This window comes from Homo sapiens, chromosome 7 (genome assembly GCF_000001405.40).
Source record: "Homo sapiens chromosome 7, GRCh38.p14 Primary Assembly".
NCBI lineage: Eukaryota > Metazoa > Chordata > Mammalia > Primates > Hominidae > Homo > Homo sapiens.
In genome coordinates, this window is record NC_000007.14 from 21,678,615 (window position 1) to 21,704,799 (window position 26,185).

General features: G+C 37.3%; 1 protein-coding gene across 1 annotated transcript in view; it reads left to right on the plus strand.

Annotated features, from left to right (window-relative positions):
* DNAH11 (dynein axonemal heavy chain 11) overlaps positions 1 to 26,185 on the plus strand; it is a 358,801-nt gene that overhangs the window by 135,576 nt on the left and 197,040 nt on the right. The window contains exons 31-38 of the mRNA NM_001277115.2: positions 2,932 to 3,063; positions 5,170 to 5,330; positions 8,485 to 8,641; positions 8,768 to 8,913; positions 12,151 to 12,267; positions 19,461 to 19,599; positions 24,096 to 24,188; positions 25,820 to 26,014. Of these exons, the coding sequence (NP_001264044.1) occupies positions 2,932 to 3,063; positions 5,170 to 5,330; positions 8,485 to 8,641; positions 8,768 to 8,913; positions 12,151 to 12,267; positions 19,461 to 19,599; positions 24,096 to 24,188; positions 25,820 to 26,014 (1,140 nt within the window). The remainder of the gene's footprint in view (positions 1 to 2,931; positions 3,064 to 5,169; positions 5,331 to 8,484; positions 8,642 to 8,767; positions 8,914 to 12,150; positions 12,268 to 19,460; positions 19,600 to 24,095; positions 24,189 to 25,819; positions 26,015 to 26,185) is intronic.

The window sequence follows — 26,185 nt, forward strand, 5'->3', positions numbered from 1 at the left end:
GCAGTTGAATTAAGTCTACAGAGAACTCTGGGCAGTACAGAGATTTTAACAAATATAAATTATTCTAATCCAAGGGCATAGGATCATTCCATTTATTTGTGTCTTTAATTTTTTTCCTTGGAGTTTTGTAGTTTTCAGTGTATGGATCTTTGACCTCCTTGGTGGTTGGTAGGAAGTAGTATAGCCATTATGGAAAACATTATGAACATTCCTCAAAATATTAAAAATAGGACTACCAAATGATCCAGCAATCTCACTTCTGGGTATATAGGTAAAGGAAATAAAATCACTGTCTTGACAAGATATGTGCACTCCCGTGTTCATTGCAGCTTTATTCACAATAGCCAAGATGTAGAAAAAACCCAAGTATTCATTAATAGATGGATAAAGAAAATGTGTAGACACTCATGCCCATGCACACACACACAGAGGAATATGATTTAGCCTTTACAAAGAAGGAATCTTACCATTTGTGACAACCTGGATGAATCTGAAGGGCATTATTCTATGTGAAATAAGCTAAACACAGAAAGACAAATACTGCATAATCTCACTTATAAGTGGATTAAAAAAAAAAAGTCTAACACATAGTAACGGTACAATGGTGGTTACCAGAGGATAGGGATGGGGGAAAACAGAAGATATTGGTCAAAGGGTACAAACTTTCAGTTATAGCATGAATAAGTTCTAGAGATCTAATTTAACATATGGCACCTATAATTAATAATAACGTAGTGTATACTTGAAATTTGCTAAGAGAGTAAATATCAAGTATTTTCACTTAAAAGATGTGTGAGCTGATGGATATGTCAGTTAGCTTGGTTGGGGTAATAGTTTCACAATGTATACCTACATCAAAATATCACGTTGTATACCTTAAACGTATACAATTTTTGTTTTCCAGTCATACCTCAATAAAGCCCAGGGGGTGGAGAAATAGGGCAAATGCTTATAAAGCTGTCGTGTATCCTGAATATCTAGGGGACATATATTAATATTTTTATTTCTTTAAGCCAGCTTTCCTTTGTGTTTGACTCTAAGTCTGTCCTGAATGCTTCTTGCACAGCTACAGTTTCTCAGACCTGAAGGGATGGGTAGGTCTTGTGGAGGCTGGAGAGGGTCTTTGTGATGAATCTGAAGTCAGACTGTTGGGATTTGAATTTCTCCTCCCTGGATTGGCAAATGTGGTTAATAGGGCTTTGACTCAATTTTCTCATCTGCAAAGTTCGGATACAGATTATCTTTCTTTTTTAAAAAATTTTATTATTATTATACTTTAAGTTTTAGGGTACATGTGCACAACATGCAGGTTTGTTACATATGTATACATATGCCATGTTGGTGTGCTGCACCCATTCACTCGTCATTTAGCATTTTAAGATTAAGTGCAATGAGATCAGCAACGTGCTTAGTCAGTGCCTGGAACCTTCTTTGTTCTTATTTCATGGAAATTGCACATGTTACAGTTATCTCTTCCTCCCTTTCTTCTCCCTTCTTATTCCAGCTGTATGACTTTCTCTAGCCTCCAGCCGCACGGCAATCTCAGGGAAGTTTGCAGGGTTTCGCATTTTCCGGGGCATGATAATAGTACAGTAGTGGACCTGTATTTTGACAGTAGGCTACAAAGGTTTGAGTCTCTGGTGATCTGTCATATTCACTTACCACCAGCTTTCTTAGGTGCTAGCAGTTTGTCATTGACTGTCCTTTTGCAGAGCTGAAGAGAAAAGGGGATGGTATTGTTTCACAGTATGATACCTGGAATAAGGCAGAAATATTGTTTTTGTAAATAAGGCTTGAGTAAGGCAGAAATCTTTTTGTGTAAATAACCATACTAACAAAATGACCACCTAAGACAGCATCTTTCAAACCTCTCTGACCACAATTCACCATAAGAAATATTTTCTATTAGATCCAAGTTCACATGTTTATGTAGGTAGTCAAAACGGAAATAAAACAGCATGAAACAATACATTCTCTTACTACCTGTGATACCGTATTTTCTATTCCATTCACTTCAATGAATTGTCATTCATGGCATTCCATTTTATTCCTTTCCATTCTATGAAAAAAGACCAGCAGTTTGAAAAATATTTATCTACGAGTTCGACGGACCTAAACAAGAATAAGAATAAAGGAGGATATTCTTCATCTCTTAATTTTAAATATTTTTTCAGTAGTCATCACTATCTTGTATTTTTAAAAACCAAAGCAAACACAAATTGTTAGGTGAATGCTTTTCTAAAGAAAAATATAATTTGTCATTTAGCTTTTACTATGCTTTTTTGAAAGTTAGTCTAATTTGGCCTTTCAAGATTTGTAGTCATTTCCTTTCCAACAATGTTATGGACCGGGCTATCATTAGGGTAGAGGGTCAGTCCAGTGCAGCCGGGAAACCCTGTGTCTTCCCTGGCTTTGTCATTACTCACAGGTTCTCTTGTCCTTCATCTGTGTGAGGGGGTAATAATATTGTGATTTCTACACCAAGGTTCTTTGAGGTCCAGCTGGGGTAACATATTTGAAATTGTTTTGTGGCCAGGCGTGGTGGCTCATGCCTGTAATCCCAGCATTTTGGGAGGCCGAGGTAGGCAGATCACTCAAGGTCAGGAGTTTGAGACCAGCCTGACCAAAATGGTGAAATCATGTCCCTACGAAAAATATAAGAATTAGCTGGGCGTGGTGGTGGGCACCTGTAATCCCAACTACTAGGGAGGCTGAGGCAGGAGAATTGCTTGAACCCAGGACGCAGAGGTTGCAGTGAGCAGAGATCATGCCACTGCACTCCAGCCTGGGTGACAGAGTGAGACTCCATCTCAAAAAAAAAAAGAAATTGTTTTGCAAACTAAATCAGCCTTTACAAATACGAAGAATTTGGGGCTCTTAAATTCTGTATTTGTAACCCTTCTCTCCTTTTTAAAAAATGATTCCTTCTAGATTTCTCAGCTGAATACACTGATTACACTTTTGCTGGGAGAACTTCCACCTGGAGACAGACAGAAGATCATGACAATTTGTACCATAGATGTCCATGCCAGAGACGTGGTGGCAAAACTTATTTCTCAGAAGGCAAGTTGTTTGTAGAAATTTTATGTATTCATTATTGTTTCCTGAAAGTGGTGTTTATTGCCAGAGTAGTTCCAAGAAAGTCGTTGTTTTTTTGAAAGTTTGTATGTTTTAATTAGTCCTGAAAAGTTGTGTTTGTCTTGGGTGCATTTGATTTTGGTTAGCCAATATATTATTCTGATGAGACCTATTCCAAGTGATATCCCAAAAGGTTTTGCCAAGTTAGGAACATCAGATCATCAAAAAAAATTTTATCACAGTGGAAGAACCGTGAGAAATCACTGTGTTCATCTCTCTGTGTGTGACCGTCTTGGTCATTGGCCTGTGAGCCTCAACTCTGTGACTTACACAGCCAATAGCAGTAAGATTATGTGTATGTGATTTAAACCATGTCTGTGTGCCTTTGATACATTTCCCCTTGAAGAGAGAGGTGTTGGTCATAATTCTAGGTTGTCACTTGGGTAATCCTTTGTCTCTTCCTTGAACAACTAAATTATTGTCTTGTAAGAAGTTATTTTCTAATTCTTTTAGTATACTAATAACCTTTCTTTTATATATCTTTAAAAAGTCGGCCGGGCATGGTGGCTCACGCCTGTAATCCCAGCACTTTGGGAGGCCAAGGCAGGCAGATCACGAGGTCAGGAGATCGAGACCATCCTGGCTAACATGGTGAAACCCCGTCTCTAATAAAAATACAAAAAATTAGCCAAGTGTGGTGGTGGGTGCCTGTAGTCCCAGCTACTTGGGAGGCTGAGGCGGGAGAATGGTGTGAACCCAGGAGGCAGAGGTTGCAGTGAGCCGAGATGGCGCCACTGCACTCCAGCCTGGGTGACAGAGCGAGACTCCATCTCAAAAAAAAAAAAAAAAAAAAAAAAATTTCTGTGTGTCTTTAAGTGTTGGCAGTGTTTAATGTGAAAGGAGAATTTTCTCATCCTTCTTTCCAAAATATATTCCTATTTACAAAAGTCAGGAGTATGCTTGTCTACTGGGTTACGCTTGTTTGGTAGTATTAAAACAAGGCAATTCCTTTCACAATTCGAATGCCTGTACGTATTGTGAAGTGTTTCTGTGTTTTTTTCTGGGTTTTTTTCTCAATTTATTAAAAGCAAAGTGAATTTTAATTATTTTCATAAAGTGCAAGAAAATGCTTTTCATATGAACCATAAACATATATTAACATTCCTTGATCCAGCTTCAGGACCACTAGTGAGCAATATTCTTTAATTGCTAGTCCAAAACTTTTCCTTGCAAAACATCGCTTACCATGTGTTCTGACTTTGATAATGAACTGTTTATATCTAACTACTCCTTTAATATGGCCTTGTATCTTCTTATATATTTTATTCTATTTTATAAGTCTGATGATTTCAAGTAGGATAAATTCTGATTTAAAATATGTCCTTTATTTTGTACTAAAAAATACTTTGTCTAATACCCAACCATCTAATATACGTGAATATGCAATGCTGAAACCTGTGTAGTCATCAGACAAATTAGTATACAGTAATTTTGGTAAGTTCAACTGATTCTCAAGAAATCCAAGGGTCACATTTATCTTGAAAGAGACAGGGATTTTTAACTGGAAGATGAATGGTTAGGATTGAGTAGATGGGAAAGAACAGCAATGAAAAATACTGTTATTTGATGTGATTAAAAACAAAGCAGAAAATCTCTGTACTAAAAGCAGATTGGTTTTAGAATGAACTTGGTTGAAAATGTAGTTTATTTATGCCTCTGCGATGCAGAAATTATGGATTATGTGTCATTTAAATATAGACAGTATATTTTTCCATCTGACTTCAGTGATATGAGTATAAAGTTACAAGATTTATCTAATCCCCTGGGGTGATTCATAAAAGAGGAAAAAGCATTGCTTGAAGAAATTCATATTGTTTTACATAAAAGCCAGTTTAAAATGAAGACTTATTACACGCATATTTCTTATTAAGTATTTAACCATGTATATGCTATTATAATTTGCAATAGCGTGCAAGAGATTTCCTATTTATGAGAATTTTAGAAATGTGAACCAGTAGAGTTGATTAGATTAATAACTTGTTGCCCCAAACTACCAGTGTCCTGCGTATGATGATTATGCAATGCCTTTAGGTTGTCAGTCCCCAAGCTTTTACATGGCTGTCTCAACTTCGTCACCGATGGGAGGATACCCAGAAACACTGCTTTGTTAATATTTGTGATGCCCAGTTCCAGTACTTCTATGAATACTTAGGAAACAGCCCTCGACTAGTGATCACTCCTCTAACTGACAGGTAACAATTCAAAGTTTCCGTCCAGATAGGAAAAACAACCCAAAAAAGTCCCCTAGTGTGAGAATGAAAAGGAAGGAATGAGAGGAAACGATGAACAATGAACTATGTGAAAGTGGTGAAGAGAATTGAATTAGAGAAACAGAGTTACAGAAGCTATACAATGCACAAATGATGAAATCATGAGTGGATTAATATGGCTCAAGGAAGCATTGTTGATTCTGCCTAGTTATCTACAACTAACTTTCTGGTATCAGGATCTATCACCACCTCCCTCCACCCCCACAGGATTCCTTTACTGAAAGTGTACAATAACTAGGAATTGCCTGTGTTCAAATTCATATTTGAGGAACTGCATACAGTGAAAGGAAGGGAAGGTGAAGAACATAGCATTCATTAAATGATTCAACAAATACTTCTGAAGTACTCTGCTAAGTACTATTCCACTGTTGAACAGCCAGGGTTCCTGCTGTCACAGAGATTACTTTCTAGTAAGTGGGGGTAAAGAGAAACAATAAAAAAGTAAATTAATTATTTTAGGCTGTGATATATGCTATGACAACAATAAAAAAAGATCAATATGTTTAAAATTGTCTTGAAGGGAGAGCCTACTATTGTGGAGAGCTTGAGCTGGGACCTAAATGATGAGGAATCAGTTATGCAGAGATCCTGGGGCAGAAAGTTACAGGCAAGAGCAAGGACAAAGTTTCCAAGGTGGGAAGACACTTGGCCAGTTTCAGGGATAGAAAGAAAGCCAGTGTGGCTCAAGTATTTCAAGGGGGCAGGAGGTTACTATTATTAATAGTTCGTTTCCACTTGACTCCAAGTAAATACATACCTAGTCAGAATATTGCGGAGATAAGAATATGTCACATTGACGGGAATTTCTTTGTTAGTATTCCAATCTCTGCTGACCTGTTTGATGGGAGACAGCACATTTAATCTTTGGCATTCATGAAGCAGAAATCACACCTCAAGGTCATAGCTGCATGCCCAATTATCCACTATCACCGAAGTGTAGACAATTTCAAATATAAGTCTATAAAGCTGGTTTGCTATGGTAGTCCTGAGAGGCTGGTAGGATTCTCCCACTACATTTGTGATTGTTCTTGCACATAGTAACCTGCTCATAATCGCGACATTTGTGTATTGTATAGTTTCTATAATTATGTCTAATTCAGTTCTTCTAACTTGTCTCTGATTAAAAGTCAGCATTCACTGTCCTCATTAGTTAATTTATGCATTGCTTTCAGTGAGAGGGATTAAAATTGTAGCTTGATGAAGTCACTTGAGAATAGTCAAAACTGCAAATGTGAAGAGTCTACCGTACGCATGCCATTGTCAATAGAGAAGGAGGAAAGGGAGGCCCAGGGTATAGGAGAAAAAGGGAAGAGGCATTTTAAAGTTTATCATTATGTGAGGCCTGATAGTTTATTAACTTTGAAATTAGAAGAATCACCATGTGGGTTTTTTGGGAGCTGAAAGGAAGATGAAAGTTCATTTTGATAGTGTGAATTGTGTTGGATAAAATGTTTCCATTTCCATTTCATTCTTTGAATTATTTACTAATTGTTTACATTAACAAAATGATGCCCTTCAAATTCTTCCATTATATTTCATTTGATGCTGACCATCCCTTTGTGAGGTAGGCAGGGGAGATAGTGTCTCCTTCTTCCATATGTGGATGGGTTCAGAGACTTAAGTCAACTGTGTATTGACTAGAAGGATGCCGGTTAAGCTGCTGTTAGATATTCCAAACAAAAGACAATGGCTGAAATAACACAGAAGTGGGTATCTCACTGTCCAGAGGTACAGGCTGGCAGGTGGCTGACATGCTAAACATGGTTTCCACATGTGTTTTAGCCAGTGAAAGGGGAAAAAAGAGAGTCCAGGTCAAATATCTCCAAGGAAGTGTTGTAGGAATGGCACTCGTCATTTCTGCACATACACCATTGGTTGGAGTTTGGTCACTTGGCAACTCCTGACTGAAAGGAAGGCAGGAAATGTAGTCTCTAAACACTGGCAGCCATATGCCTACCCAAAACTTGGAACCACTGGAGAAAATTACAAGGCGAAAATCTCTACTACAAAAAGTACTCTGATTCCTAGTCTGGGAGCCTTTTCACTCATTCATTGTAAGATACACTTAAACATGCAATGGATATAAAATGCAGAAACACTGTCTGTTTTCATAATTAATCGCTTCTATTTGCATAGTACTTTCAATTTTTTAAGGCATTTACCTTTGGCCTTCTGAATATATTCCTACAATTAACCTCATTTAATAGAGGAGAAAACTGAGGTGTGTTGATGTCAAAAGACTTATTTAAGATTAGCATCTGATCATTGGCAAAGGGGACATTAGTCTCTCGTCTCCTGACCTCCATGTGTATATCATTCACTAGACCTGCTGTCTGTACTAAGAGAAAAACAATTTATAAATCTGAGGAAACTCCAAATAAAGAATACAGCCATTTGATGTCCTTGCTATTTGTTTTGTCTTCTTTTATTAGGTATTCTTGTTTCATGATTTTCTAAGAACTTCTGAGTCTTTGCTGCAAAAATAAGTATTATGGTAATCTAAGTGGATGTAGCAACACATTCCAAAGGAATTTGTAAAATATATTTAAATACAGTAAATTGCCCTTTTATATTTTCTTTGTATATTGAAATAGGTATATGTTATTTGTATACTATGTATTTATAGAAATTACATATCTCTTAATGTATTAAGTAGCAGTTTAATACAGCCAATGTTTAATTCATTCATCATCTAAGACTTCTCTTCTACTTTTCCTTTATAAACAATAGTTTGGATGTTGTCTGCCATATTAATATCTTTACCTAGAAATATCAGAAATTTAATAGTGTTACAAATCAAGTGTTATTTGTATTCAAATACACAGCTCTTAGGAAATGAGATCAATAAACAAAGAAATACATTCTTTTCTAGTATTTTTAGACAGCTAGCCTAAAAATAAATGTGATAGAAAATATTCTGATTCATTATTGCCATGAACAAATCAGAAGTATATCAGTATTTTATGCTACTATCACATTCTAGAGCTTCTTAAACTTTTTTTCTAATGTATTGCCTCTGATGTTTTATGAAAATCTCATATTAGACTGTGATGTTTGTGTTTTCTATTGCTTAAAGGTGTTATATTACCTTAACTCAATCACTTCATCTAACCATGAGTGGGGCTCCTGCTGGCCCAGCTGGTACCGGGAAAACAGAGACCACCAAAGACCTAGGACGTGCCCTTGGCATGATGGTCTATGTATTCAACTGTTCAGAGCAAATGGACTACAAAGTAAGTTAGTAAGAGAATAATGTGTAAAACTTTATTCTCTAACATTATTCCTGATTGGGAATTATTCAATATAATAGCGTAAAAACCCCTTCTGTTAAATTCTGAGTGCCTCACTTTATCATTTAGTCCATAGGCAATATCTATAAGGGATTGGTGCAGACAGGAGCTTGGGGCTGCTTTGATGAGTTCAACCGAATCTCTGTGGAAGTTCTGTCAGTGGTGGCAGTACAAGTGAAAATGATTCATGATGCCATCAGAAACAGGAAGAAGAGGTGAGTGGCATGCAGGCTATCTCTTGTTACAAATAGAAAAACATGGAATAATGCAGGTAACCTCCCCTTCACTGTCTATTGCTACCTCTCCCTGTCTCATGAAATAGATAAAGGAAGATTCTGGTCGATTTGGGGGAATTATTTTGAATAGTCTCCCATTTTTATTAGTGGTTTCTAAGTGTTGAGTACAACACATGTATATTACATTACTTTAATCACTTAAAAAACAAACAACTTCTAGGATTGGCCAGACACAGTGACTCATGCTTGTGATCCTGGCACTTTGGGAGTTTGAGGCGAGAGGATTGTTTGAGCCCAGAAGTTCAACACCAGACTGGGCAATATAGCGAGACCTGGTGTCTACAAAATAAATAAATTTTAAAAATTAGCCAGGCATGGTGGCATGTGCCTGTAGTCCCAGTTATTTTTGAGGCTGAGGCAAGAGGATTGCTTGAGCCCAGGAGGTCAAGGCTGCAGTGAGATGTGTTCGTGCCACCGTGCTCCAGCCTAGGAGACAGAGCAAGACCCTTTCTCCAAAAAACCCAAAAGACTTCTAAGATGCTCATTCCATTGATCAGTTCTCAGTCCTCATCTTTCTTGACCTCTGGCAGCATCTGATGCAGTTGGTTATTCTCCACTGCATGATATACTTTCTTCACGTGGGTTGAGGACAACACCTCTCCTACATCTCTCTCCCCTCACAGCGCTTCATTGCTGGTTTCTTCTCATCTATAAAATGGGGGAAAGAAGAGTACCTGCCTTATAGACTACTGTGATGATTAAATGCAAAGTACCTGGAAAAATGCCTACCACATAGTAAGCACTATATCCGTGTTTCCTATTATGTTTTATTGTTATTATTTCCTGGCCAACCCAACTCACGTTAGGCATCACAGGCCCCAGTCTTTGGATTTACTTTCTCTATATTTTCTCCCCTTGTTGATTTCAACTAGTCCCAGGGCTTTAAAAAAACTCTCTCTATGCTGCTGACTACCAGATGCCCAGGCTTCCTCTCTCCTCATCTCTGGACTGACCTAAACAACTGCCTGGGGCATCCCAAGGCTCTACTGGAGGTCTCCCAGGCTTCTCATATTTAATATATCCAAAATAAAAATCTTAGTCCTTCCACCAACTCCTTCTTTGCTAGTTGTCTCATCCCAATAGGTTATACCTTCATGTTCTTGCAGTAACTTGGGCCAAGACCTTTCAAATTATGTTCGAAATCTAAATGCTTCTCAACACAATGCCACATTCCAAAAAGCAAAACACAGCTGGCACTTACGTTTGATGGCTTAATTTGAGAAATAAATTAGTATAGTATGCAGCACAATTCTGGTTCTCTTTGTAACATTTTTATCAACAGGGCAATCTTATTTATCTGGCCCACCTGTGCCCCCTTAGTTTTTAGAATATTTTTCTCAGCTAGCTTGTCCATAGGAACATTTTCAATGTCCCAAGGATTATCTAGCCTCTTGGACTGTTTACCTGTTGTAGAAGTTTCCAGGTTATCAGGAGATACATCTGGATATTTCTACATTCTAGAAAATCTCTCAGTCCTTCTGCCACGTGGGCCTTGGGTCCCAGTTTTTTGTGTTCAGGTGTCTGTTTCCTGACCTGTCCCATCTCTAAGGCCATGATAGAGAGGCTCAGTTATTTGTTCTTAGATCTCCAGCTATATTTTATCTAGCTTTTAGTCAAAATCTTTTTATTTGATGTAACCCAGATGTCATTTGAGGCCATCCTTTCTTATGGAGATTTATGTAACTGATCCATGTACTGATTTCTGAAAATTGCCGAGAATACTCCTTGGTAGTCTCCTCTTGTCTGAATGTCTGTAGGTCTGCTCTCTTCATCTTATTTTAGCCCATATGCAGACAGCTCTGCTCCTTCTTGACTTCATGAGCTTATTAAATTCTCTGTACACATGAAGATTTAAGAGATGGGACCATGCCTCAATTACAAAGCCTTCTAGTGCCTTGCCAGCTCTACCCTCTGGAGGTCCACACCTTTGACTGTGGCTGTCCCTCCTGTGTACAATGGGAGAAGAGGCAGTTATTCTGTGGCAAGAGCCACCGCTCTGCGTGTGAGCGGCCCTGCCAGCCTGTCTGCCTTCCCTAGCCTGACATTCTGGGAAATGAAGTTTTCTCCATTTTTATCTTGACTATACAAAATCCACCTGCTCCTAATTACCTAGTGTCTAAAGCACCCTTAGTCCTAAACACTGTGGTTTCTTTCTGTGTTTTCTCTTTCATGATGCAGACCCAGCTCCTTAACTGCTTCAGCCCTCCCCTCTCAGCAATGCAAGAGATCAGCCTTATATTTTGTCTCGTTTACCCTCATTTGAAAGTTTCCCTCTACCTGTCTCTCAATATGGCTCCCATAGCACATTACCATTCATTGCCCTGGCCAGCAGCAACCCACTTGGGTCCTCACAGATCTTTCTGAAAATCTTTCACTATTTCTCCAACGCAAATCTTTCACTGTTTCTCCAGTGCCTTTAAGTGACAGTAATAGCATTAGTCATAGCTAACATCTCTTGAGTATTTTCCATGTTCTAGGCATTATACTTTTACCCATTTATATTTATAATCCCTTTTAAATCCTTGCAGAATCCAATAAGGTTGGTAATATGATTATTATTTTTACTAGATGAGGGAATTGGAACATAGGATAATTAACTTGCCTAAAAGGGATATGCCTGGTATCTGAATACTCACAGTCTGGCTCCAGAGCTATTGTACCTCTCAGTGATATTTAATAGATTTTTCTTGAGTCAATGAAAGGTATGGAGGGAAAGAGGAAGAGAAGTTGAAGAAATAGACAAAACTTAAGACTGAGCAGGACGTCCCTTTCTCCTCTTAGTATGGGCATTCTCTGTCTATGCAGCATCCCATTCAAGGAATTGCAGCCCATGTTGAAGGTAAAAATGCCATCACCTCCTTCCATTAAATGTTAAAATAGTCAAGTCTTTATTTTTATATTCTAGGATACTAAGGCTATGCTAAAATAAAAAAGAATACTTCCCATTTTTATAATTCCTCCAGGAAAAGGGAGGGTATTTTTAATAAATATGCTTCAAAACATATTCAAAATATGTATGGGCTTATGAATTTTAAAGAAAATTACACAGAATAAACAGCTTCCTAATAATTTGCATTTTGCAGTGGTTTGCATTTGTCAATGTGCATTCATATTCAATGAACACATTTAATTTCATCAACATTCTTTTTATGGTAGATTTGTATTTCTTGGGGAAGCTATCACACTGAAGCCATCAGTTGGAATATTTATTACTATGAACCCGGGTTATGCTGGTCGAACCGAATTACCGGAAAATCTCAAAGCTCTTTTCAGGCAAGTGTTATGCTTTGTGGCTTAGCATCTGGTGCACTCATGCCACCTAATGTTGTTGGTTTGCACTGTTAAGTGGTTTGCTTTTACTTGAAAATTCCTAAGGAAAATCCTATATGATTTCCTTGGGCTCCTTTTATAGACAGAACTTTCACCATGATAAATTAACCCTTTTGAATTATAAAACCAGGACTCAAAATCAGTATTTAAAAGTTACGTGGTATATTTGCATATTTACTGTTAGCTATTTTGTAATGCATATTTTTATTATAAACATAATCTTTCATAATTTTTTTTTTCTTTTTTTTTTTTTAACAGTCAAAGTGCATTTTATTGCCAACAGAACACTTCAGGAGGAAATGCTAACACAAAGCCAAGGCGCTGGTGCTGGCTCATTTTTGCTCCTCCTGACCTTGGCCAGTATTTGGTAGCCTTTCCAGAGCACAGGGTGAAAGGCTAAAGGGCTAGGGCTGGGGTGGGGGGAGCAGGAGGGCATGGCAGCTGCTGGCTCTGTCCTCCCAGCCTGGTCCCACCCCTCCTGCCGCTCTCCTTGGGCTCAAGGGACACACATTCGTTCAAATCTGACGGGCAAAGCCAGGGCCTAGCCCACTCTAGCCGCAGGGTCCCCTCCCTGAGGGCCCTGGTCCAGAATCTTTCATAAATTATGAGCTGTTTGGAAAATATAGAAAAGAATAAAGAAAAAGTTACATCACCATCCAGAAATAATGATTGTTATGTTTTCTAGCCTCCTTTTATAATTTATATTTTGTGGGATTAAGATATTACAGTAGGCATGATTTTTCTTTAGTTCTCTTCATTTAATATTTTGACATATTTTATCATATTATTAAACAACCTTTAGAAATATCATTTTATGTAGCTCTAAAATAGTCCCTCTCATGCCTTGTTCATAAATTTCTTAACCATTCACTGTTGTCTGTTATGTAGGGTTTGTCTTTTCCTTTTTTTTATTATAATGAAGTAGCAGGCTGTAAACTTCTATTCACATGAAAAATTACTCTTATTTCAGAATAGATTTCTAAATGTAGAATTACTTAAGTGAATGATTAAAATCCCTATTGATGACCTGCTTTTCAAAAGTACTCTGCCAATGTATGCACTTAGCAGGAGTCTGTAAGAGAACATGTGTTGCTATACCTAGTATCCGTTACGATTCACTTATAATTTAAGTCAACTTCATTCAGGTATCATTTTTTTGGTTCAGTTTTCCAGAAAACTCTGTATTGTAATTTTGCAGAATTGAAATATGGTTTATGTTTTATTAGAGAAAGAGAGATCAGGTTTAGAGATAAAATTGTAAGGTTTATCATCATACCAGGTGATAGTAAAAACATTCAGGTATAATTTAATACAATCAAGTGTACAGTTGGTGAAAGCATAACCACAATCAAAGTACAGAATATTTCCACACCCCCAGAAATTCTCTTCTGCCTCTTTGAAGTGAGCCTCCCATACCAATAATGTACTTTCTGTGATTATAGATTAAATTTGTCATTCCTAGAGTTCATGTAAATGAAACCAGACAATATGTACGTTTTTGTGTCTGGCTTCTTTGAGCATTGTGGTTTTGAGATTTATCCAAGTTGTTGAGCGTATCAGTAGTTTGCCCCTCTTTCTCACTGATTAGTATTCTATTATATAGACCTACTGCAATTTGTTGATCCATTCACTAGTTGATGGACACTTGGGCTGTTTCCAGGTTGGGGCTATTATGAATAAAGCGGCTATGAACATTCACGTGCGATGTTTACATGAACATATATTTTTATTTCTTTGGGACAGATATCTATGGCTGGAATTGCTAGTCTACATGGCAATTGTGTGCTTTGCTTATAAGAATCTGCCAGTCTGGTTTCCAAAGTGATTTTACAAGTTTACATCCTCACCATCAATGCATGAGAATTCTAGTTGCTCACATTCTTGTCAAAAATTGATACTGTCAGCCTTTTTTATTTTTAGCCAATCTAATAGATAGGTAGTACTGTGTCCTCCTAGGTTTAGTTTGCATCTCCATGATGGCTAATGATGTTGAGCCTCTTTTACATACTTATTGTCTATTGCTATACCATCTTTTGTGAAAAGCCGTATTCTGCATACAGTTCCTTTGTTAGATACATACATTGCAAATATTTTTTCTCTCAATTTGTGGCTTGCCTTTTCATTTTCTTTTGTCCATCAAAGATAGAAGTTTTAAATGTGATGAAATATAATTTATCAATTTGTTTTTGTTTTTAATATCCTATTCAAGAAAATTTGCTTAGCCCAAGCTTGCAAAAATTTTTAACTATGTTTTCTTTTATAAGCTTTGTTGTTCTATAGTTTTCGTATGGGTTTTCTCCTTTATTCTGTTAATGTGCTGAACTATATTGATTGATTTTCAAATGCTAAACAGTCCTTCGGTGTTGCATTCCAGGGATAAGCTCCGCTTGGTCAGGAGGTATTTTATTAATAGGTACTGCTGGATTCAATATGACACTCTTTTGTTAAGGAATTTTTAAAAATCTATGCCATGAGGGTTATTGTTCTACACTGTCCTTGTAAAATTTTTGTCTGGCTTTGGCATCAGAGTAGTGCTGACATCATGAAGTAAGTTGACAAGTGTCTTCTCTATCTGCTTAAGAGTTTGTGTAGAATTGCTATTATTTACTCCTGAAGTATTTGATTGAATTAATCAGTTAGGCCATTTGGACCTAGAGATTTTTATTGGAATCTTTTTAATAATGAATTTAATTCCTTTAATAGATACAGGGATTTTCTGATTTTTAATTTTTTTATTGATTTGATTTTGGTAATTTAAATCTTTTAAGGAACTTATTGGTGTTATCTAGTTGAATCCATTGGCACACACTGGTTCATTGTATTAGTCCATTCTCACACTGCTATAAGTAACTACCTGTGAATGGGTAATTTATGAAGAAAAGAGGTTTAATTGACTCAAAGTTCCAGAGGCTGTACAGGAAGCATGGCTAGGAGGCCTCAGGAAACTTACACTGATGGCAGAAGGCTAAGGGGAAGCAAGCATGTCTTACAAGGTGGACCAGGAGAGAGAACACGCGCGAGGTGGGGAAGTGCCACGCACTTTCAACCCATCGTATCTCATGAGAACTCACTCACCATCATGAAAACCACCATTCATGAAGAATGGGGAAAATCTGCTCCCATGATCCAGTCACCTTCCACCAGGTCCCTCCCCCAACATTGAACTACAATTCAACATGAGATTTGGGTTGGGACACAGAGCCAAACCATATCATTCATAATATTCCCTTATTATTATTTTTTAAGTTTTATTTTTATTATACTTTAAGTTCTGGGATACATGTGCAGAATGTGCAGGTTTGTTACATAGGTATACATGTGCAATGGTCGTTTGCTGCACCCATCAACCCATCATCTAGGTTTTAAGCCCTGCATGCATTAGGTATTTGTCCTAATGATCTCCCTCCTCTTGCCCCCCACCACCTGACAGGCCCTGGTGTGTGATGTTCCCCTCCCTGCGTCCATGTGTTCTCATTGCTCAACTGCCACTTATGAGTGAGAACATGTGGTGTTTAGTTATCTGTTCTTGTGTTAGTTTGCTGAGAATGATGGTTTCCAGCTTCATCCATGTCCCTGTAAAGGACATGAACTCATTCCTTTTTATGGCTGCGTAGTATTCCATGGTGTGTATGTGCCACATTTTCTTTTTCCAGTCTATCATTGATGAACATTTGGGTTGGTTCCAAGTCTTTGCTATTGTAAATAGTGCTGCATTAAACATACATGTGTATACGTCTTTATAGTAGAATGATTTATAATCCCTTGGATATATGCCCAGTAATGGGATTGCTGGGTCAAATGGTATTTCTGGTTCTAGATCCTTGAGGAATTGCCACACTGTCTTCCACAATGGTTGAACCACTTTACACTCCCACCAACAGTGTAAAAGCATTCCTATTTCTCCACGTTCTCGCCAGCATCTGTTGTTTCCAGACTTTTTAATGAGTGCCATTTTAACTGGCATGAGATGACATCTCATTGTGGTTTTGATTTCCATTTCTCTAATGACCAGTGATGATGAACTTTTTTTCATAAGTTTGAACTCCCATTCACAATTGCTACAAAGAGAATAAAATACCTAGGAATACAACTTATAAGGGATGTGAAGGACCTCTTCAAGGAGAACTACAAACCACTGCTCAAGGAAATAAGAGAGGACACAAACAAATAGAAAAGCATTCCATGCTCATGGATGGGAAAAATCAGTATCATGAAAATGGCCATACTGTTCAAAGTAATTCAAAGATTCAATGCTATTCCCATCAAGCTACCATTGACTTTCTTCACAGAAGTAGAAAATACTACTTTAAATTTCACATGGACCCAATAAAGAGCCCATATAGCCAAGACAATTCTAAGCAAAAAGAATAAAGCTGGAGGCATCACACTACCTGACCTCAAACTATGCTACAAGGCTGCAGTATCCAAAACAGCATGGTACTGGTACCACAACAGATGTATAGACCAATGGAACAGAACGGAGGCCTCAGAAATAATGCCACACATCTACAACCATCTGATCTTTGACAAACCTGACAAAAACAAGCAGTGGAGAAAGGATTCCGTATTTAATAAATGGTGCTGGTAAAACTGGCTAGCCATATGCAGAAAAAAAGCTGGACTCCTTCCTTACACCTTACACAAAAATTAACTCAAGATGGCTTAAAGACTTAAACATAAAACCTAAAACCATAAAAGCCCTAGAAGAAAACCTAGGCAATACCACTCAGGACATAGGCATGGACAAAGACTTCATGACTAAAACACCAAAGCAATTGCAACAAAAGCCAAAATTGACAAATGGGATCTAATTAAACTAAAATGTGTCTACACAGCAAAAGAAACTGTCATCAGAGTGAACAAGCAACCTACAGAATGGGAGAAAATTTTTGCAATCTATCCATCTGACAAAGGTCTAATATCCAGAATCTACAAGGAACTTAAATTTAGAAGGAAAAAAAAACCCATCAAAAAGTGGGCAAAGGATATGAACAGACACTTCTCAAAAGAAGACATTCATGTGGCCAATATTCCCTTATTATCTGTAGTGATGTCTTGAATTCCATACCTGATACATGGGTAACTTGTATCTTCTCTCTCTTCCTATTTCCTTGATGATAAGCTAGAGGATTATCAGTTTTATTTTGGGGTTTTATTTAGGGTGCTCAATATGTGTGCTCAATACTATTCAGTATGCTTTTAAAATAATATTCCACTTCACATATAATCTAAGAATGTCTACAGTTTTTAGTGTGATCTCTTTCCGTTCTTTCCAACTTAAAGTTTGCTTGTCCATCCATCTGGGTATTTAACCATATTTCATTTGTATTTTCTTCTAATTTTTATAGTATTACTGTTCTTATTAAATTTAATCTGATGAGAACTTATTTTAGTTGGTAATATGAAATGAGTGTTTAAACAATTATTTTCCCTAATAGTTAATCAATTGTGCTAACATCTTGTATTGAATGTTTTTCTTTCCTCATAACAGCTTTCTCTAGCATAATAATTTTATAATGTCTAACTTTCTTGAAAAATTCTAGATAGAGAATAACCATTCTAGAAATCAATGTAATAACTACAGAATAGCTTTGTTTGAAAACTGTGTGCATTTCCAGTATCCTATTTGTGACCCAATTTATCTCATACTTTCTTTCATTTGGGTCTTGAAATTTGAAATTGTCTTGTGAATTTTTTTAATAACTTTTGTTTAATGGGTGACGAAAGCATTACTCATGTGTGGAGGCCATATGCTTGTGCCTTTGGAGTATTCTGATTCCACCACTCACCAACCATGAGGCCTACAGCATGTGCTTGAACTTCTGGGAACATCAGTCTGCCTCTCTGTAAAATGAAGATAAGAGGAGTGGGTACCTCATAGTGTTGTGGGGATTAAGTGAGAGAGTGCATAAAAAGATTTTAGCACCCAATATGGTATGAAGTGCTCAGTAAAAATTAGTTGTCTATATTAATGTAGATATAAAATACATAGATATGCTAGTCTTTGCTCTCTCCATTTACTCTTCATCTTCTGGTGTCATGTGAAGAGTAATAACTGTGTGAAAAAATATGGGGTTAGTTTAGATAGAAGAGATATAGAATAACCTAGATCCAAAGATACTTTAAGGTTAGATGTTTAGGATGAAAATCAGGTATGCATGAAGTAGACTGCAATTATATTTACAAAAACAGGTAGGTATTATTGGAATGTATACTTTAAGAAGTCTAAAATAATGAGCTTATTTATTTACTCTTCCTTCTTTGCACTTGACTTCAGTTGAGTGGAATTTTTTCAAACGTTGCTGTGAATAGCAATTGTCTTTGGAGAGGGACTTTTTGGAAGTCCCTCTCCAAAAGAAAGGGGATTTGAAGCTATGTTTTTCTAAATGTCCCCTTTAAAAGTCTATCCCAGTTGGTCCTAGGCAGTGGTGTGCTGGCAGTGGCTGGCACAAGCTCTCAGTAGCTGATGGTTAAGTTTTCATGAATGTTCTGAGTTGGTTCTTTAGTTTAATGAAAACTAAATTGTATCAACTTTTGATTCAATAAGTTGGATTAAAAACAAAGGTGATAAACACCCCAAACTGGTCACTTTATAATTATTTATTTTACTGGTATTTATGCTCTTGAGGTTATTTCTGTCTATTGTGTCTGTATGGTGGTATACTTCTCAGCTCCACATTTAGTGATATTGTGTTGGTATCTTGGAATCAGCCATGGTGGAAGAATTTATTCCATGGAAATAAGCAAGTGCTATTTTCTAGACAGCCGGTTGTGAAAACATTAACCAGCACACCATTAACCACAGGTAAAGCCTCGCCCCTTGCTCAAAACATCATTATTCCTCTTTCTGCAGTGACAACTTACACCAGACGTTTACAGAATGTATTCATGGATTTTCTTTGAACTCCTACACCTGTGCTTCTGCCATTCCAGACTTTCTATCATTTTTTGTGTCCAGTAATGAGTGGACATTTTTTTAGTTGAAGTGAAGGGTCTTATTAGCTGTGATTGACAGACATAATTATGATCTGCTTAGGAATGGTTAAAATGTTGGTACGAAATAACCACTTGATTTCAGCAATTTGTACTTATCACCTTGTCACATTTTAAAACTAAAATTCTTATTTACTTTTTAGACCCTGTGCCATGGTGGCCCCTGACATTGAGCTAATCTGTGAAATCTTGTTAGTTGCTGAAGGTTTTGTGGATGCGCGTGCATTAGCCCGAAAGTTCATTACGTTGTACACGCTTTGCAAGGAGCTTCTCTCCAAGCAGGTGAGGGATCATTTGTTACGTTTTCTTGTTTTTACATACCATTGAAAAAGCTTTTGAAGTATGGATTTTAGGTAATTTATCATTCAAATTACATTAGACATTAAAATTTTTTTGTACTTAAAAAAATTCAATAGTTTGGGGGAACAGGTGTTTTTTGGTTACATGGATAAGTTCTTTAGTGGTAATTTTTGAGATCTTGGTGCACCTGAGGAGTGTACACAGTACCCAGTGTGTAGTCTTTTATCCCTCACCCACCTCCCACCTTTTCTCCCAAGTCCCTGTAGGCCATTATATCATTCTTATGCCTTTGCATCCTCATAGCTTAGCTCCCACTTATAAGTGAGAACATACGATATTTGGCTTTCCATTCCTGAGTTACTTTACTAGAATAATGGTCTCCACCTCCATCCAGGTTGCTGCAAATGCCATTATTTCATGCCTTTTTATGACTGAGTAATATTCCATGGTGTATATATACCACAGTTTCTTTATCCACTCATTGGCTGATGGACATTTAGGCTAGTCCATATTTTTGCAATTGCAAATTGTGCTTCTATAAATAGGCATGTTCAAGTGTCTTTTTCATATAATGACTACTTTTCCTCTGGGCAGATACCCAGTAGTGGGATTGCTAGATCAAATGGAGATTCCTTTAAAAACTAAAACTACCATTTCATTTGACATTAGAAATATTTTTATATTTTCTATAAAATTCGAAAAACTTATTTTATAATTTTTATTTTTTTCTGAAATTTTGAGATATTTTAGTTCTGATATTTTATTTGTATTAATACTTTTTTAAATCAACGAGCTGTGTGATTTTCTTTGTCAATTTTGTAATCATAAATGGAATTTTATGTTGCCTCCCTTTCTTCGTGAAAATATTATTTTCTAATAAGATAGGGCAGGAGTGTTCAAAAGAGTAAGATAAGGCTAATTTTCTGAAGAGTATCTCAAGGAATGTTAAAATTATTCTCATTTATTGGTAATTCTTTATTTAAAGGTAGGGTTGACTGGTTTTTTGTTCTTTTAAATTTGTGCTCTACAATTTCCTTGTCTCTAAAATGGGTCAGATTTACATACTCTCTACTCTCCAATCATAAGCTTCTTGAAGATCTATTGAAGTTGCTGATAAGCCACAGAAATTACATATATATCAGCATCAATATTTTAAAATTCAGCCATATGATCATTTTTGACTTTTGGTCTTTTGATAACATTTCATTAATTACTGGTGACATTATTCTGTAGTCAAAATGAAAGCATCAGAATACCACAGTTGCAACCACACAGTTACCTTACTGCCACGTATTTATTTTAACTTGCTCATTGTTAGGGCAAAATATGGAATATGAGAGTGATTTATGTTGTCCTTTTAGTAACTGTGAATTTACATTGGGTGGGTGGAATCATAATTTTTAACAGTTGTCTCTGGATAGTAAGATTATGGGTGTTTTTATTTTTTTCCTTATTCTTAAAATCTTTTTTTAATGAGCCTATTTTAATTTTATCATGGTAACAAGTCAGAAGAAAAAAATGTAATAGAGCCCAGGGAATGTGGAGTTTCAACTATATCTATTTTCAGTAGTAATATTTAAACATTTAATGAGCATCTAGTATAACTAATAATGTGCTTTTTGCTGACCATGTTGAATGTGTAAGATTCAAAACAAATGAAACAAACACCCAGATTTCTGACTTTGAAGAATTTAGGTAATTCAGTTTACATGACATAAAAATTGGGAGACAATGGAGAATGAAAAGATTATCAGAGTTTTCAAGGAAGAAAGGAACCAATATTTATTGAATGAGTACTATGTGTTATGTTACAAAACTGTCAAAAGAAGTTTACAAATTTGATTTTATTAGCCCTGTTTTACATATGAGAAAACTGAGCAAAACAACCTGTCCCAAGTCCATATAGCTAACAAGGGATAAGGGCAAGATTTGACTTCAGTTCTAATTCTGTCTAGGACACACCTGTAGCCAATTACAAGAGGAAGGTGTTGGGAGTACAGGTAGAACAAAGAAGGAAAGAGTTTGCTAACTCAGAAATGTCACAAATGAGCAAAAAGAAATCTGGCCAGGACAGAAGAGCTGGGTTAGGAACACAATTCAAGGATAACTTCCTGTGCTACAGAAATGGGTTTGGGAAAAGAATCAGCAGACATTTTTGACCATTGGAATGATATAATGAAAATGGTGAAGATACTTTTAGCTATTTGCATTGTTTAAATGTTTAGCAGAGGCACCAAGTCCTCTGAAATCTGTGGTCCAAAATTTCTTCTGCATCCACTCCTTTTATTGTTACTGCAATAACTTAGCCACCTCCCATTGTTGCCCTCAAAGTTCTTATTCTCAGAAACACCATTTGACCCAGCAATCCCCTTTCTAGGTATATACCCAAAGAATTATAAATCATTCTACTATAAAGACACATGCACACATATGTTTACTGCAGCACTATTTACAGTAGCAAAGACTTGGAACCAACCCAAATGGCCATCAATGATAGACTGGATCAAGAAAATATGGTACATATACACCATGGAATACTATGCAGCCATGAAAAAGGATGAGTTCATGTCCTTTGCAGAGACATGGACGAGGATGGAAACCATAATTCTCAGCAAACTAATACAGGAATAAGAAACCAAACACCACATATTCTCACTCATAAGTAGGAGTTGAACAGTGAGAACATATGGGCACAAGGAGGGGAACATCACACACTGGAGCCTGTTGGGGGTGGAGGGCTAGGGGAGGGATAGCATTAGAAGAAATACCTAATGTAGATAACAGGTTGATGGGTACAGCAAACCACCATGGTACGTGTATACCTATGTAACAAATGTGCACATTCTGCACATGTGTCCCGAAACTTAAACAACAACAACAACAACAACAAAACCTCTGGTTCTTTCCCCTCCCTTTCCTCTTCAAGCCTCAGCCTACTCCATCAGTGGCTTTCAAATGATCTTTTCCATGGCCCACAGTAAAAAATAATTCTTCTATTGTGACTCAGTGCATACACACATGTACAACTGAACCAAAAATTTCACCAAACACTTTTTACTTTTTTTTTTTTTTTTTTGAGACAGTGCCTCGCTTTGTTACCCAGGCTGGAGTACAGTAATGTGATCATAGCTCACCACAGCCTCGACCTTCCTGGCTCAAGCGATCTTTCCATCTCAGCCTCCTAAGTAAATGAGACTCTAGGCGTGCACCATCACGCCCAGCTAATTTTTGTATTTTTTGCAGGAGTGGGGTTTCCCCCTGTTGCCCAGGCTGGTCTGGAACTCCTGGGCTGAAGCAATCTGCCCGCCTCAGCCTTCCAAAGTGCTGAGATGACAGGCATGAGCCACCACACTCAGCCACTTTTTGCTCTCATTTGCATCACACTGCAGTGTTTTTCATTTCGTTCCCTTTTATTACAGACAAAAATGATGGTCGAGACCTACTAAATTGATTTTATTATCCACTAGTGGAGTAAATGGGATATTTGTAATGTAATATTGTTTTACCGCCCACAAAAAATTTGTACTCATATTAATTCACTTTACTCCTACAACCACTTATAAAGTAGGTGGGTGCTTTTATCTCCCTTTTTATAGATGATGATTCTGAGGCTCTGGGAGGTAAAGTGTCTTTCCCATAGACACAGCTGAGAGACATTTGAGAGATGGGTTGTTACTGTGTGGGTTGTAGCTGGACGGTGAAAGAGGGCCAGTCCCGTGTAAGCAGTTAGTTCGTTAGGAATACCTTTACTGAGCACCGTGCAATGTGCTAGCCCCAAGAAGACAGTGAATATATGGGAAATAAGTTTATCATGAGAAAAAGCCAGAAGAAAAAATGTAATTGGTCCCAGGGAGCATGGAGTTGCAATTGTATCCAATCTCAGAAGTAATATTCTGAGATCCTCTAAGAGCTCAGACCCTGTGGGAGGAGTCTTCATTAGGGATAACGTTGTAGTCTCAAAAACAGATAATTGAATTTTAATGACATGGTTTTTATTATATTATGTGCTGGCATCTAGGCAGAAGTATCTGATTAAGAGGTGGAGTAATTGGGGCCATTAGGGATCCAAGTCTGGGGAGAAGTAGAATACCAGGGCCCTTGATGAAACCAGCACAGGTGGAGAAATGTGCTTCTGGTTGGAGGTGAAAACGGGGAATTTGCTGAGCTACTGAGTTAGCAGGTCTGTTGAGAGAGTACAGCAAGGGAGGTGGATGGAGCCTTAGGCAAATACTGCAGTTAAGCGCTATGGAAAGAAGAGACTTGCTGACAGAGGCAAAAAAAAAAAGGTGAAAGAAACAGGACGACACTACAGGGACATGATTTTCACAGTTTCAAAGAGCAGAAGAAAATAGTATTTTGAATCATTAAAGTGTGTATTTATCTGAACTCCTTCTTAAAAACTTTCAGCTCTTACCTCTGGAATGAGAATCTTCTTCCCTCATACAATTTTTGAGAAAATAAACCTGTTTTGATTTTAGGATCATTACGACTGGGGACTTCGTGCTATTAAGTCTGTCTTGGTTGTGGCTGGATCTCTGAAACGAGGAGATAAAAATAGACCCGAAGATCAGGTACTGCAATGCTAATATGATTTTGTTGAGTGAGTAGCTGGCCTGCTTCACAGACATGAAAGTATATGCCTGGATGGTGGGGCATGGACAGCACAACTTTTAAAAAGCATAACATCTGTTGTTAATGCAGGAAATTTGAGGATTGGCGTTCCTTATAAGAGGTCACAAGTGGTCTTGAGTACAAAGATATGAATCTGGAAAAGAAAATGTGATTTTACAAGTAGTTTTGAAATAGCCACAAAAAGTATTTTGACAGTCATAATCAAATAATTCAGTAATCACTGTTTGATTTCCTCTGAGGAACATTTAAGAAATCTGATTGAATTGGGATATTAATCCTGGAAAGTCAGCGAAGACATAATGGGAGAAAGAGCATCCATTTCATGGGACCTAAGATGGACATGCAGAATGAAACAGGAAGGGTGGGTGCCTGACACCAATGAAATGCGTGATTGGTTGGTCAGAGCTACTAGAGAAATGTTCTGCTCTCCTTCCTGGGGAGAAACGATAACAACACTTCATGAATTTTTCCCTTAAGTAGCGAGAGCAATGGATATGTGTTATCAGTCCATTTTCACACTGTTACAAAGAACTACCTGAGACTGGGAAATTTATAAAGAGGTTTAACTGACTCACAGTTCTACAGGCTTAACAGGAAGCATGACTGGGAGAACTCAGGAAACTGACAATCATGGAGGAAGGCAAGGGGCAAGCACGGACCTTCTTCACATGGTGGCAGGAGAGAGAGAGAATGAAGGGGAAAGTGCCACACACTTTTAAACCATCGGATCTCGTGAGAACAGCAAGGAGGAAATCCACCCACTTGATGATCCAATCACCTCCCACTAAGCCCTCCTCTAATTTGACATGAGATTTGGGTGGGGACACAAATCCAAACCATATCAATACATATCACCATGTGTATGTGCAATATGACTTGGGAAATAACAACAACAACAACAAAAAACCCAAAACTTTACTCTGTGTGATTTTTTAAATTGTGGGATATTTATTACGTATTTTTGTACTTTTCTTTGCCAATATTTCTCTCTTTTCCTCTTAATTTCCTCGTAATTTAGTACTAGGTCAAGATTTTCTTTCATTTATTTTTTCTCTTGCTTTTTAAAATTTTTGTTGGAATGCTTAACTCCTGCTGTAGAAGTTATCCTGACGTTTGAGTTACTGCTTTTAAAATCTTTAGCTTACAGCCAAGATAGAACAACAACAACAAAACTAAAAATGTTTGAGATTATCATTCTAAGATTCTCAGAGTACTTTGGATAAAATGATCTGATGGGCTTGATTAATTTAAATTCTGGAGTTTGAGGATTCAAGAGAGAAGGCCCTTAGATTGTTTCTGAAGATCAAAACAGATCATTGGCAGGGAAGGAAAAGGCCTCTTTGCTGTTCTTATTCTAAGGATTGTTCATTGTATCAGTTCAGCCTTCTCATGTTCTGATACATCAATTTTAAACATTTAACCTCCCTATTGATAGAATGCCATCTTAATGGAGAACAGTACCAATATCTCATGCTTCACATATGAGGAGTAAAAATAACAAACATCTTTAGTTTTTTAGGTGTTTGTTAGACCTTGTATTGGCTTTTTTATAAAATGTTTTTTTTTCTAGGTACTCATGAGAGCATTAAGGGATTTCAATATGCCCAAAATAGTGACTGACGACATCCCAGTGTTTCTGGGCCTGGTCGGTGACCTGTTTCCAGCCCTGGATGTGCCCCGGAGGAGGAAGCTGCACTTTGAACAGATGGTCAGGCAGTCTACCCTGGAGCTCCGCCTGCAGCCTGAAGAGAGCTTCATCCTCAAAGTAAAAGGAGCATTTGCTTTTCATGGCAGCTGTTGGGATTGTCAGTGGAAATAATTGTGGCTAATTGATACTAAAGCAAGATGTTAACTTGTACCCTAACCTTAATAGGATCTTAATATATGCTTTCAAGCATTTTCATATGGCAGGATTAAGTAAACATAAGTAAACATT